We start from the raw sequence: 15,272 nt of genomic DNA, 5'->3' as shown, positions 1-15,272 counted from the left end.
ATTCCTTAACAGTCACCTGGAACATGACAGAAATCAGTTCCTGTTGTTTAATAAAGTGACGGGTCGCCGGCAGGGCAGGGTGGCTCACACCAGCACTTTGGGAGGCCAAGGTGGGCGGATCACTCACCTAAGGTCAGGAGTTTGAGACTAGCCTGGATAACATGGTGAAACCCTGTCTCTACTAAAAATACAAAAAAATTATCTGGACATGATGGCGGGCACCTCTAATACCAGCTACTCAGGAGGCTGAGGCAGGAGAATTGCTTGAACCTGGGAGGCAGAGGTTGCAGTGAGCAGAGATCATGCCATTGCACTCCAGCTTGGGTGACAGAGCAAGACTCCATCTCAAAAAAAGAAAAAAAAAATGATAAATTGAGGTTATGAGAAGAGATACAGAGGGCACCATGAAACTGCACAAAGGGGAAGCTCCAAGGCCTATTTCTTTCCTAAAGCTCCAGGTTAAAGATTCCGCCACCAGCAGCCTCTAGGACTTTTGCTTGGCTCTTCATTGAGAGGGTCTTGACTCTGAACTGGGCACTGCACCAAAAAAACAAAACAAACAAACAAACAAACAAAAACCAGTAAATAGATACTGCACCAAATCTGTATGTCTCTAGAGGCTTGAAGGACGGCCCTTGCATGAATTTTTGATTTCTAGAACTAGAAGGGATCTTAGAAATCATCTAGTTCCCTCACTCAGGTGAGAAAAATGCAAGTCCAGAAAGGTTAAATGATTTGCCTCTGCTCACACGGTTAGCAAGGGGCAAACCAGGGTTAGAACTCACGCTTCCTAATCCATGCCCTGGGATAGATGAGGAATGAAGGGGAAGCAAGATTAAGATTTGTAAATAATCAGAAGTCCTTTTTGTTATTTTCTTGTAGAGGTACATGCTAAGCATTTCTGTTTAGCATGATAAAATGACTAGGATTTGCTTCTAAATAATCTGGTTTGAGGGTAGATGGGGAGGGTATACTGGTGGTTTGACAACTGCTGAAGTTGAGCAATGAGTAAAAGAAGGTTCATTATACTATCCTCCCTACTTTAATATATTTTTGAGAATTTACATAATAAGCCAGCACAGTGGCCCACACTCGTAATCCCAGCACTTTGGGAGGCCAAGGTTTGCGGATCACTTGAGCTCAGGAGTTTGAAACCAGCCTGGGCAACATGGCAAGACCCCGACTCTGTGAAAAATACCAAAATCAGCTGGGCATGGTGGCTCATGCCTGTAGTCCCAGCCACTTGGGAGGCTGAGTTGGGAGGCTAGCTTGAGCCAGAGAGGTGGAGGTCGCAGTGAGCCAGATCATGCCACTGCACTGCATCCTGAGTGACAGAGCCAGACCTGTCTAAAAAAAAAATTTTTTTCCATAAAACTTCTAAAAAATTATCCTTTTAAAAAGAGATCTTCATTTTATTTAGAGTCCATATAAATGAGAAAACATCTGATTTAAAAAAGGTGTTACAGAAAAAAAAAGGCATGTTTTTTTAAAAAGTGGCTTATTTTTTCACGGATCTCAGACAACTTTGAGTTTCCTATTATTTTGGTTCTACTTCCATTCCCACCCTCAATCATTTAGTGGACAGGGAGACTGTGGCCAAGACAAAAAAATCACCTTTTGTTTTTCTTACGACAAAGTCTTGCTATGTTGCTCAGGCTGGACTCAAATGCCGAGGCTCAAGCAATTCTCCTGCCTCAGCCTCCCAGGTAGCTGGGACTACAGGCACATGCCACGCACCTGGTCAGGAAATTATCTTGATGCTTCTGATCCCAAGGGAGCAGCTCTCATTGTGTCCTTGGTCTCCTTACCGAGGAACAACGTAGGGATGCCCTGGAAGAGGGCATAGTTTCAAGGGCATCCCTGGCAGGGCCGTGTAGCTCCTTCTCCAGCTCCTCCCTTCTCATCACCATAGCCACACATCTATTAATATTAGTTTCCCATGGCCGCGTGCGGTGGCTCATGCCTGTAATCCCAGCACTTTGGGAAGCTGAAGCAGACAGATGACTTGCGGTCAGGAGTTTGAGACCAGACTGGCCAACATGGTGAAACCCCTTCTCTACCAAAAATATAAAAAATTAGACAGGTGTGGTGGCATGCACCTGTAATCCCAGCTACTTGGGAGGCTGAGGCAGGAGAACCCCTTGAACCCGCCAGGTGGAGGTTGCAGTGAGCCGAGACTGTGCCGCTGTATTCCAGCCTGGGCGACAGAGGGAGACTCTGTCTAAAAATACATATATATGTATTTTCCCAAGAGCATGATTGCTCCCCTTCTTAAAATTTTGTCTCCAGAGTCCTAGTCCAGAAACCTCCCTAGGTACCTAAAAGTTGAGGAACTTGGGGTTATTGGCTTGGTTTTGTTTTTTTGTCTGCTTGTTTTGTTTTGGAGACAGAGTCTCGCTCTGTCACCCAGGCTGGAGTGCAGTGGCTCACTGCAACCTCCACCTTCCAGGTTCAAGTGATCCTCCTGCCTCAGCCTCCTGAGTAGCTGGGATTATAGTCATGTGCCACCATGCCCAGCTAATTTTTCTATTTTTAGTAGAGACAGGGTTTCGCCATGTTGGCCAGGCTGGTCTTGAACTCCTGGCCTCAAGTGATCTCCCTGCCTCAGCCTCCCAAAGTGCTGGGATTACAGGCGTGAGCCACTGTGCCCATCCTAAAACTGTTCTTTAAAAAAGTTGTTTTTTTTTTTAGGCCGGGCGCGGTGGCTCACGCCTGTAATCCCAGCACTTTGGGAGGCCGAGGCAGGAGAATGACGTGAACCCGGGAGGCGGAGCTTGCAGTGAGCTGAGATCGCACCACTGCACTCCAGCCCCAGCCTGGGCGACAGAGCAAGACTCCGTCTCAACTTTGTTGTCAGGCTGGAATGCAGCAATACAGTCATGGCTCACTGCAGCCTTGACCTCCTGGGCTCAAGTAATCCTCCCTCCTCAGCCTCCTGAGTAGCTGAAACTACAGGCATGCACCACCACACCCAGCTAATTTTTAATTGTTTTGTAGAGACGGGGTCTCACTATGTTGCCCAGACTGGTCTTGAACTTGGGTCTTGGCCTCTCAAAGTGCTGGGATTACAGGTGTAGGCCACTTTGTCCAGCCAAAAAATCCTATTTTAAAAAAAGAAAGGCATTGAATAACTTCTCAAAATGCTACCCTGAGTCTAATAGGACACAGAATTTCAATTCCAAAACTATAGGACTTACAAAAAACTATAGGATATTACAAATAGTGGAAACACATCTCTCGGGAAATTTCAGAAAGGGCACAGGAGTGGATATGTGGGTTAGAGAGAGCAGGACCCTTTGAATATGAATCAAGAAAAGAGGTCTTTATTTGACTTCTTAAGTCTTACCTTTCTCCCAAGACACACTATCTATCGATGCTATTCTAAAATTATTTTTGTCTATCTTTAGTTAGCTATCTTTTCTAATTAAAAAATTAGGGCTGGTCGCGGTGGTTCACACCTGTAATCCCAGCACTTGGGGAGGCTGAGGCGGGCAGATCACGAGGTCAGGAGTTCAAAACCAGGCTGATCAACATGGTGAAACCCTGTCTCTACTAAAAATACAAAAAAAAAGCCGGGTGTGGTGGTGCGCACCTGCAGTCCCAGCTACTCAGGAGTCTGAAGCAGGAGAATCACTTGAACCCGGGAGACGGAGGTTGCAGTGAACCGAGATTGTGCCACTGCACTACAGCCTGGGCGACAGAATGAGACTCTCAAAAACAACAACGACAACAAAACAATTAATAGGCCAGGCACAGTGGCTGATGCCAAGGTGGGAGGACCACTTTAGTCAAGGAATTCAAGTCTGCAGTGAGCCACGATTGTGACACTGCACTCCAGCCTGGACATCACAGTGAGACCCTGTCTCAAAAATAATTAACTAATTAATTAATGCTTACTATGGAAAAGTCAGCAGGTGAAGAATTGCAAGGAGGGACTTAAAAGAAAGGACAAGTCCGGGCTCAGTGGCTCACGCCTGTGATCCTGACACTTTGGAAGGCAGAGGTGGGCAGATCACGAGATCAGGAGTTCATGACCAGTCTGGCCAACATGGTGAAACCCTATCTCTACTAAAAATACAAAAATTAGCTGGGTGTGGTGGCAGGCGCCTATAATTCCAGCTACTCAGGAGGCTGAGGCAGGAGAATCACTTAAACCCAGGAGGCGGAGGCTGCAGTGAGCTGAGATTGTGCCATTGCACTCCAGCCTGGGCAACAGAGCAAGACTCTGTCTCAAAAAAATTAAAAAATGAAAGGACAAATCCTTTGTCACCTACCACACAGAGATTATGACTATCATGTCTTCCATCATGATGACTTGAGTGTGCAACTCAAAGTAGCACACACCACTCGCTGGTACACTGGATCCCCCTCAGCTTCCTTCATTGCTCTTATTTTATACCCTATCCTGCAGCAGTACATAGCCCCACCAATGTCCCCAGAACTCACCTGGTTCATTCCTGCCAATCCTATAACCCATCCATCCATTCTACCACCATAAGATGCTGAGCTCCCTCCAAAGATAAGCAACCTATCCAAATTCCCAAATTCAGTGACAATGTTTCCTACCTCACCCCTACTTCCTTCTCCTCCAGACACACACCGTTATACTCCATACCTGCAATTATACTTAAGGTTATGGGTCACTAAGGAAGAAGGAAGTTCTTGCCCCTTAATCTGTAATCACAGAACATCAACCGGATCTTCAACGGCCTCTTCATTTCAGTTCCCAGAGGCTGACCACATTTACCAATTAAGTTACTACACTTTAGTTGGTTCTTATTTTTTGCCAGACTCTAGGCTTTTTTTTTTTTTTTTTTTTTTGCTTTGGTTAAAAATTTAAAATATAAACAGCATCACTTAGTGAAATGCGATTTAGCAGCTTCATTGAGATGGTAAAAATTTTTTCCCATGATGAATTTTAACTTTTTTTTTTTTTTTTTTGAGACGAGGTCTGGCTCTGTCACCCAGGTTGGAGTGCAGTGGCTGGATCACAGCTCACTGCAGCCTCAACCTCCTGGGCTCAAGCAATTCTCCTATCTCGCCCTACCAAGTAGCTGGGATTACAGGCACTCACCACCACATCCAGCTAATTTTTGTATTTTTTGTAGAGACAGGGTTTCGCTGTATTGTCCAGGCTGGTCTCAAACACCTGACCTCAAGTGATCTGCCGGCCTTGGCTTCCCAAAGTGCTGGGATTACAGGTGTAAGCCACCGCACCCAGCTAAATTTTAACTTTTAATTCTCACTAAAGAATGAAAGGATACAGCCACCCTCCATCCAAAAAAATAGTATCTACTACTGAAATAGGTTGCTCCTCTTCCAACTTCAGTGAAATGCTCTACACCTTGATGACCTTTAGTTGATTATATCCTCAACTGGACTAAACTTCCCGATTAGCTTGACGTGCTTCTGCACCTCCGCTCAAGGCACTGAATGAATGAATAGATGAATAAATATGTATTGAATACTCCATACTCCATCTTTTTTTTTTTTTTTTTTTTTTTTTTTTGCATGTTCTTGTCTTGGCTTCACACCAAGATTATACTAGAGATGTATTTTTTTTTTTTTTTTTTTTGAGATGGAGTCCCGCTTTATCGCCCAGACAGATGGAGTGCAGAGATGCGATCTCGGCTCACTGCAAGCTCCGCCTCCCAGGTTCACGCCATTCTCCTGCCTCAGCCTCACGAGTAGCTGGGCCTATAGGCGCCCGCCACCACACCTGGCTAATTTTTTGTATTTTTAGCAGAGACAGGATTTCACCGTGTTAGCCAGGATGGTCTCGATCTCCTGACCTCGTGATCTGACCCCCTCAGCGTCCCAAAGTGCTGGGATTACAGGCGTGAGCCACCACTCCCGGCCGCTGCTCTAGAACTTAATCGGTTCAGCTACCCATTGACCAAAAAATTAACAGTGGTGTTTTCTGGACAGTAGGATCACAAATGTTTCTTCTTCATCTTTTCCAGACTACTCTAAATTTTGTAGAAAAAAATTATGTATATTAATAATCAAGAAAAAGGCTCAATAAAAATATTTTGGTTGTTTACAAAAGTTTTACTTTAGGCCAGGTGTGATGGCTCATGCCTATTATCCCAGCACTTTGGGAGGCCAAGGTGGGTGGATCACCTGAGGTCAGGAGTTCAAGATCAGCCTGACCAACATGGTGAAACCTTGTCTCTACTGAAAATACAAAAAAAAAAAAAAAAAAAAAAAAAAAAAAAAAAAAGCCAGGCATGGTGGTGCAAGCCTGTAATCCCAGCTACTTGGGAGGCTGAGGCAGGAGAATCACTTGAACCTGGGAGGCGGAGGTTGCAGTGAGCCTAGATTGTGCCACTGCACTCCAGCCTGGGCAACAGAGGAAGACTCCTTCTCAAAAAACAAACAAAAGTTTAACTTTAAAAATCTGTTAAAGGAGGATATACTTTAGATAACCTCCTTTGGAGTACAATGAGTCTAAAGAAATTGGGTTGAAGATTAGCACTCGGGACTGCCTGAAAACTCAAGACAATATAGTTAGGAATATTACAAGTTGGATGAGAGTAATACAGTAATCATGAAGGTTGAATGGCAAGAACATTTGTGGGTTAAGTAGATAATCCAAGTGTCACCACAAACGATTATTTCCACACCAGGTGCAGTGGCTTATGTCTGTAACCCAGCAGTTTGGGAGGTCAAGGTGGGAAGATTGCTTGAGTCCAGGAGTTTGAGACCAGCCTGGACAACATGGTGAAACATACCACCAACTTTAAAAAAAATACATAAATTAGCCAGGCATGGTGGTGTGTTCCTGTAGTCCCAGCTACACAGGAGGCTGAGGTGGGAGGATCACCTGAGCCAGGGAAGTCTAGGCTGCAGTGAGCCATGATCACGCCACCTTACTCCAGCCTGGGTGACAGAGCAAGACCTTGTCTCAAAAAACAGTATTTCTGGCCGGGCATGGTGGCTCACACCTGTAATCCCAGCACTTTGGGAGGCCGAGGGCAGCGGATCGCTTGAGCTCAGGAATTCGAGACCAGCCTGGGCATCATGGCAAGACCCTGTCTTTAATCAGAAATAAATAATAAAAATAGGCCAGGCACAGTGGGTCACGCCTGTAATCCTAGCAGTTTGGGAGGCCAAGGCAGGCAGATCACCTGAGGTCGGGAGTTCAAGACCAGCCTGGCCAACATGGTGAAACCCCATCTCTATTAAAATATACAAAAAATTAGCCAGGTGCAGTGGCACACGCCTGTAATTCCAGCTACTCAGGAGGCTGAGGCGGGAGAATCGCTTGAACCTGGGAGGTGGAGGTTTCAGTGAGCCAAGATCGCACCACTGCACTGTAGCCTGGGCTATAGAGTGAGACTTCATCTCAAAAAAAGTAAAAATAAAAATAAATAAATAATGAAATAGAAATAAATTAGCCATGTGTGGTGGTGTGTGCTTACAATCCCAGCTACTTGGGAGGCTGAAGTGGGAGGATTACTTGAGCCCGAGAGGTCGAGGCTGCAGTGAGGTGTGATTGTGCCACTGCACTCCAGCCTAGGTGACAGAGACTGTCTCAGAAACAAACAAACAAAACAATACTGTTTCTTTTCAGATTTTAGAGCATCCATGGTGGTAATAATAGTCTTAGCTTACGGAGGTGAAAGTGAGGTCCCTTTCACTTTTCCCAAGAACTTGGAAATAGGGATATGAGACCTCCTTCAAGAAAACTCTGGAGGAAAGGTGTGCACATTCACTGGAACATGACTGAATGGAGGGAGGGAGAGGTGAAGAGAAGAGATTCGTCCTCAAAGTCAAGCCAGCCTTCCCCAAGGTACATCCTACCTCGAAGACCAGCTGTCTCCTTGAACAGGGTCAAAGGGCGCTTCCCTAGGGAGAAGGGGGTAGTCTCTCCTTCTGGATGGGTAGGAATGGATGGGCAGGACAAATTTGCAAATTTTCTCCTTCACAGGACTCCTAATGTAGTTTTCAGATACAGACTCATTCATTTAGAAAAATATGGACCTGGCCAGTCACAGTGGCGCAAGCCTGTAATCCAAGCAATTTGGGAGGCCAAGGCAGGTGGATTGCTTGAGGTCAGGAGTTCAAGACCAGCCTGACCAACCTGGTGAAACCCTGTCACTACTGAAAATACAAAAATTAGATGGGCATGGTGGCAGATGCCTGTAATCCCAGCTACTCAGGAGGCTGAGACAGGAGAATTGCTTGAACTGGGAAGGCAGAGGTTGCAGTGAGCCGAGATTGTGCCACTGCACTCCAGCCTGGGTATCAGAGTGAGACTCTGTCAAAAAAAAAAAAAAAAAAAAAAAAAAAAATATATATATATATATATATATATATATATATATATATATGGACCCAAGGTGCCCAGCATTTTGAAGTCTGCTCTTGCTCACATAGCTGCTGCCATGGTTGATAAGGTTCCCATTAGGATAAAGTGTTGTGTACCGAAAGGACTCTTTAAAGGCCGGGACCCTAAAGACTCCATTGAGGGCCATCCTACCAATGCTGGTTTTTAAGCAAGGCCACTCCTCAGAGTTTCCAGACAGAACCCAAAAACATGTTCTGCATCCCGTCCTAATCTCTACCTCAACTACGTTAGTCTCAGCTGATACTCAATGAAGATATTCTCCCCAATATTCGCATCTTATTTGTTATGTTAATAGACAAATAAAAATTGTATATATTTATTGTGTACAACATAATGTTCTGGAATATGTACACATTGTGGAATCCCTAAATTGAACTAATTAGCATGCATTACTTCACATACTTAGTGTTTTCTGTGGTGAGAACACTTAAAATCTACTCTCAGTGATTCTCAAGAATACAATACATTGGTCTGGGTGCATTGGCTCACACCTGTAATCCCAGCACTTTGGGAGGCCAAGGCGGGTGGATCACCTGAGGTCAGGAGTTCGAGACAAGCCTGGCCAACATGGTGAAACCCCGTCTCTACTAAAAATATAAAAATTAGCTGGGTGTGGTGGTGCATACCTGTAATCCCAGCTACTCAGGGGGCTGAGGCGGGAGAATCACTTGAACCCCGGAGACAGAGATTGCAGTGAGCTGAGATTGTGTCACTGCACTCCAGTCTGGGAGACAGAGTGAGACTCCATCTCAACAACAACAACAAAAAAGAATACAATACAGTGTTATTAAGTATAGTCAAGGCTGGGCATGGTGGTGCATGTCTGTAGTCTCAGCTACTGGGGAGGCTGAGGCTAGAGGATTGATTGAGCCCAGGAGTTTGAGACTGCAGTAAGCTGTGATCGTGCCATTGTACTCTAGCCACTGTCTGAAAAAAAACAAAATTAACTATAGCCATCATGTTGTACAATAGATCTTTTGAACTTATTCCTCTTAACTGAAATCTTGTCCAACATTTGCATCTTAATAGAGGATGATAATCATTGAAGGACTGGTGATCATCTTAGTATTTAATCCTCAAGCCAGGATGAAGTAAGGGGTGCGGTTAGTAGAGAGGGAGGAAAAGACCGTTGGGGGCAAGCAAGAGCTTGCTCAATATACCTCAGTTCAAAACCACACTCTTGGAATATGGGGCTTGCATTGGGATCCTCCTTGTTCTTTTTTTTTTGAGATGGAGTCTCAATCTGTCATCCAGGTTATAGTGCAGTGGCATGATCTTGGCTCGCTGCAGCCTCTGCTTCCTGGGCTCAAGCAATCCTCCCATCTCTCCGGAGTAACTGAGACCACAGGCGAGTGCCACAACGCCCAGCTGATTTTTTGTATTTTTGGTAGAGACAGGGTTTATCCATGTTACCCAGGCTGGTCTTGAACTCCTGACCTCAAGTGATTTGCCTCCCTCGGCCTCCCAAAGTGCTGGGATTATAGGTGTGAGCCATGGCACCTGGCCAGGGATCCTCCTTGTTCTGTGTGACTAGAAGACACCCCCCATCTCAGAGGCCCATCATCATAGTGTGATTAGGGGGTCTGTGCTCAGCCTGATTAGCCCACTCAAGCTCACTGCCAAGAGCCATCCTCTTGGTCCTTAGAACTGCACTGTCCTACATGGTAGCCCCATGTGGCTGTTAAAAACTTGACATGCAGCTGGTCCAAATTGAGATGCACTGTATTTGTGAAATATACATTGGATTTGACATAGTAAGGAAAAAAGAATGTAAAGTCTCATTAATAATTTTTTATATTGATTATACATTGAAAAAATAATATTTTGGATATACTGGATTAAGACATATTATTAAAATTAATTTCACATGTCTTCTTTTACTTTTTAAAATATAGTTACTAAAAATTTGAAATTATGTTTGTGGTTTGCATTATATTCTGTTAGTGCTGGCTTAGAAAATGGTAACTTTTTTGAAATTAAGGAAATTTTTTTTTTGAGATAGGATCTTGCTTTGTCACCCAGACTGAAATGCAGTGACGCCAGTCATAGCTCATGCAGCCTTGAACTCCTGGGCTCAAGTGATCCTCCATCCTCAGTCTCCAGCCTCAGTCCTGGCCTTAAGCAATCCTCCTACCTCAGCCTCCTGAATAGTCGGGACTACAGGCACACATCACTACACCCAGCTAATTTTTCTTTTTTTTGCAAAGACGAGGTCTCGCCATGTTGCCCAGGCTGGTCTTGAACTCCTGTGCTCAAGCGATCCTCCTGCCTCAGCCTCCCAAAGTGCCGGGATTACAGGTGTGAGCCACCATACCCAGCCAAAATTAAAGAAAACCTTGATTAGAAAGAAGAGAGATTCATGACCTGAAAGTGTATCTGCACCAAAAAGTATCCCATAAATAGAGAGTCCTCAATGAAAAACACTCAGACATCATTTGGAAGAACCCATGTAACCCAAAAATAAAGCACCACTGGGGGGTTTCACTAGGATATTCCAGGTACCACGCTGAGGACTTTCTTTATCAGTCCAGTTTCCCCAGCAAGCCCATCCCACCTCTGCCCTGGCATTTAAAAAACAAACACTCCTGTCTGTCGTGAGCAGGGAAAGCCCTTCCTAGAATCACGGGGCCCTAAGTCTCAGAGTTTGGGCAGAACCCCGTGTCTGCCAAGATGATGCTCTCAAATCCCTCCTTTTAGCAACTTAATAGATTATGAGAACATGACTTTGTATTTCTGGTCCCAACAGCCTAAAGGCTAGGACACTCTGACAGGTTTTATTCTTTGCTAAGTTGTCAAAGACCGTTTTTTTCACCATTTGCATAATACTTTCCAAACCTTCCCAACAGACAGACGGTTGGTTGCTTGCGAATGTTCTGAACCTCAGCTAAGGAACTACTGCCAGGGAGCAGCTGAGAGGGTCCCCCCATCCCCCACCCACCACCCCAGCACAAGCAGCTGAGAGGGTCCCCCCAACCCCCCACCCACCACCCCAGCACAGTTCCCACAAAGTGAAGATGGTTAAATGGTGGCGAAAGGAAAACTTGTGTCTTTTTTTTTTTTTTTTTTTTTCAGAGATAGGATCTCACTCTGTTGCCTAGGCTGGAATGCAGTGGAATGATCACAGCTCACTGCAGCCTCAACCTCCCAGGCCCAAGGCTGGTCTTGAACTCCTGAGCTCAAGTGATCCGCCCTCCTCCGCTTCCCAAAGTGCTGGGATTACAGGTGTCAGCACCCCGCCCGGCCTCACTTCATCTTTCTTTCCTGCTTTTCTTTTCCTCAGAAACCACAGAAATCAGATGGTTTTGCTTTTGATTTTTAAAAGTCTCAATCATAAGAATAATTAACTTCTTCACCCTGGCAAGATGCTACAATTGCCATCTTATTTATAACATTGCTATTATTACAAAGCACACTCGGGCCTGCAAGCACCCAGTTTTCAGCTGTTTCCTTTTCCAGACGAGGCCATTGAGACCCAAGGAGCATGTGGCTTACTCAAGGCCGTGTCCTAGTTATGAAAGAGCCTGGATCAGAGCTATTTCCACCACCACATTGGTCAGATTTCCGTTAGCCTAAGGGTTTGGGCAGAGGGTGGTCCCGAGGTTGGGTAAATGACCCCACCCTCAGAGCAGCCACAATGCAATTAGCATAGGCATGAAACCCTCCTTCTTCCCTTCCCTTGGCGCTTTCTCAGACTCCTTATCTCTTAGGTGGCCCCTTCCTGATTTTGTGTTGGATTTTGTTTCTTTTAGGCTCTGGCTATTCCCTCTGACTGAAATGCTCCACTCCCACATACTCACATGGTTAAACCCCTCAGCTTCGAGAAGCTGAATCTCACCTTCTCACCCTCTTAAGGAGGCCAACCCTGGCGTCCCACCTAATCCTGCAACCTCCCCCACACCCTGCAGCATGCCATAGCCCCCTTCCTTTCCTTCATTCATTTATTTATTTATTTATTTATTTATTTAGAGACAGGGTCTTACTCTGTCATCCAGTCTGGAGTGCAGTGGCGCAATCTCAGCTCACTGCAGCCTTGACCTCCCAGACTCAAGTGATTTTCTCACCTCAGCCTCCCAAGTAGCTGTGACTAGAGGCATGTGCCACCAAACCCAGCTAATTTTTTTTAATCTTTTGTAGAGATGGGGTCTCACTATGTTGCCCAGGCTGGTCTCGAACTCCTAGCCTCAATTGATCCTCCTGCCTCAGCCTCCCAAAGTGTTGGGATTACATAGGTGAGCAACCATGCCTGGTTTCCTTTCCTTTTTTTTTTTTTTCCCTGAGATGGAGTCTTGCTTTGCTGCCTAGGCCGAACTGCAGTGGCGCGATCTCAGCTCACTGCAATCTCCGCCTCCCGGGTTCAAGTGATTCTTCTGCCTCAGCCTCCCAAGTAGCTGGGACTACAGGTGCCTGCCACCACACCCGGCTAGATTTTGTATTTTTTAAAAGAGATGGGGTTTCGCCATGTTGGCCAGGCTAGTCTCGAACTCCTAACCTCAGGTGATCCACCCACCTCAGCCTCCCAAAGTGCTGGAATTACAGGTGTGAGCCAATGTGCCCAGCCCAGAGCTGTTCTTGATACTCACAAGCTCAGATTGTGAGAACCTCAAGGCCAGGATCAAGAATGGGGTCCCTGCCATACCCTCGCAGTGCCGGGCACTTAGGCCCTCAGGTTCAAAGTCAACTCCAACCTGTATTAAAATGTCAGGGGAGGAGAGATTAAGGCTAACGTTTTCCACCTGCCCCCCCCCCCACCCCACTTCTTTACACCTTCATTTCTTTTTTAAATGTTCTGGAGTATAAAAAATAACAAAGTAAGCTAAAATAAAATTCTGAGCAGAGATGGAGGACCCCAAGCCACATGGCTTGCTTTGGACCCTGTGTGCACCCTCAGCGCCACCCTCATGGCCCAATGCATACCCAGTGGAAGGAGAGAGGCTGGAAAACTCTGGACACTTTTGTCAGGGCTACGAACAGGAAACCCGCCTAGTGGAAAGGAGCCAGGTCCTCTGGCTTTGGAGAAGAATGGGCTCAGAGAGATGTGAGATACCGGGAAGGTATTTTCAAGCATGCGAGAGAACGTGCTGATCAGTACTTTTCCATCTCCACAGGTGATGGAGCAAGAAAAAATAGTTCTATTTTTTAGTACAAGAGAATTCAGTGAGATTCAGAAAGAATGCCTTATTTAGAAGGAGGTTAAACACCAGCAGAATATAACCAGGGGGAATTTGAAATCTCCAATTTTGCAGTAAAATATCTTTCGACTGAAAAAAAAAAAAAAAAACAAACAACATTCATAGAACAAAGACCATGCTCCTTTTCCCAATTCCTATGGATTCTTATTTATTTATTTATTTGTTTACTTATTTATTTAAATTTAGGACACGCCAAGACCTTTGAGTATCCAATAGATTCTAAACATTAGAGTTACGATGGCAACAAAATGGTGTGGTTGGGAGCTGGGGCTTAGAGTCACACTACTTGGGTTCAAACTTACCGCTTTCTAACTGGGATCTCAGGCAAGTTGTTTAACCTCCTTGTGCCTCAGATTTTCTGTCTTTTAAATGGGGATGATAGGCCAGGCACGATGGCTCATGCCTGTAATCTCAACACTTTGGGAGGCTGAGGTGGGGAGAATTGCTTGAGCTCAGGAGTTGGAGACCAGCCTGGGCAACATAGCTAGACCCCATCTCTATTTTTTAAAGAAATAGAGATCAAAATTACACCATCCTCATAGGAACACAGTGAGGATCAAATAAGCCCATCTGTGTGAAGACCTGGAACGTGGTAATTAAGAACAATGCCAGCCACACAGTCAGTGCCCAGCTCACCATCAGAGTGTGGTAAAGTTAGAAGTTCTGGAAGGCATACGTCATTTCCCAGAGGGGAAGGGCTGGAATAGGGACCAAAAGGGCAATCCTTAGTTTAGACAGAAGCTGCAGGAGACACACTAGATCTGGACCTGAAGGATAGGGAGTTTGCAGGTACAGTAGACAATTGGGAAGCTGGGAAGGAAAAACAACAGAATCAAAACCTTCCTGAGAAATCATAAACCCATTTGCCTTGGTCTTCTTTAAAGAGGCGAGGAAGGGCTTACTACATGCCAGGCAGGGTGGGTGTGAGAGCTTACCTGGTCCTCACACAGCTCTGCCAGGCTGGCCTTCTGGGTCCCACCAGGGAGAAGGGTTCAAGCCTGGCAGATAAAGGGAAGGAGCAGGCTGAGCACAGTGGCTCACGCCTGTTATCCCAGAACTTTGGGAGGCCGAGAACAGAGGATCGCTTGAGGTCAGGAGTTCAAGACCAGCCTGGGTAACATAGGGAGGGAGACCCTGTCTCTATTTTAAAAATAAAGTGGGGTAGGGAGTCAGAACAGGCCCCAGGTTTCTTTATGTTGACCAGGCCAGGTGGGATTATAATGATAATAATCACATGTAAATTGTGAGCAGGCACTGATGTAAGCACTTCTCATGTACAGTAATAACAGTTTAATCCTCTCCACAGTCCTCTGAAGATTGTACTGCTGAGGAAGCCGAGGATATAATTTGATCGGCGGAGGGTGAGTGCCAGTGGGAGAAATGCAGGGTTCCTGTCCAATCCAGGGCAGGCTTCCAGTGCTCAAGCTGGGGTGGACTCCAGGAGGGCTGACCCCATAGCAGAGAGAGTCCAGATCCCATCAAACCTGTTGTGAAACACAAATTTGTTCAAGTTCAAGCTTGTGAAACACAAATTTGATGGTGTCTTGACCCTCCAAACCCTCCAAAGACACAGACATCTAAGCACGCACAATTTCTTCCTCACAGAAATGTCCATTTAAGGCCTCTTAATCCTGGCCTCAAATCTCATTGGGAAGGGCTTCTTGGATAGAGTCCTTCAACGGCATCTCTTATTCTGCAATGTGCATGTAAAGCAGAGATAGGGAAAGCCC

This window comes from Homo sapiens, chromosome 10 (genome assembly GCF_000001405.40).
Source record: "Homo sapiens chromosome 10, GRCh38.p14 Primary Assembly".
In the NCBI taxonomy this organism is placed as follows: domain Eukaryota; kingdom Metazoa; phylum Chordata; class Mammalia; order Primates; family Hominidae; genus Homo; species Homo sapiens.
This window is presented reverse-complemented; position numbering follows the sequence as displayed.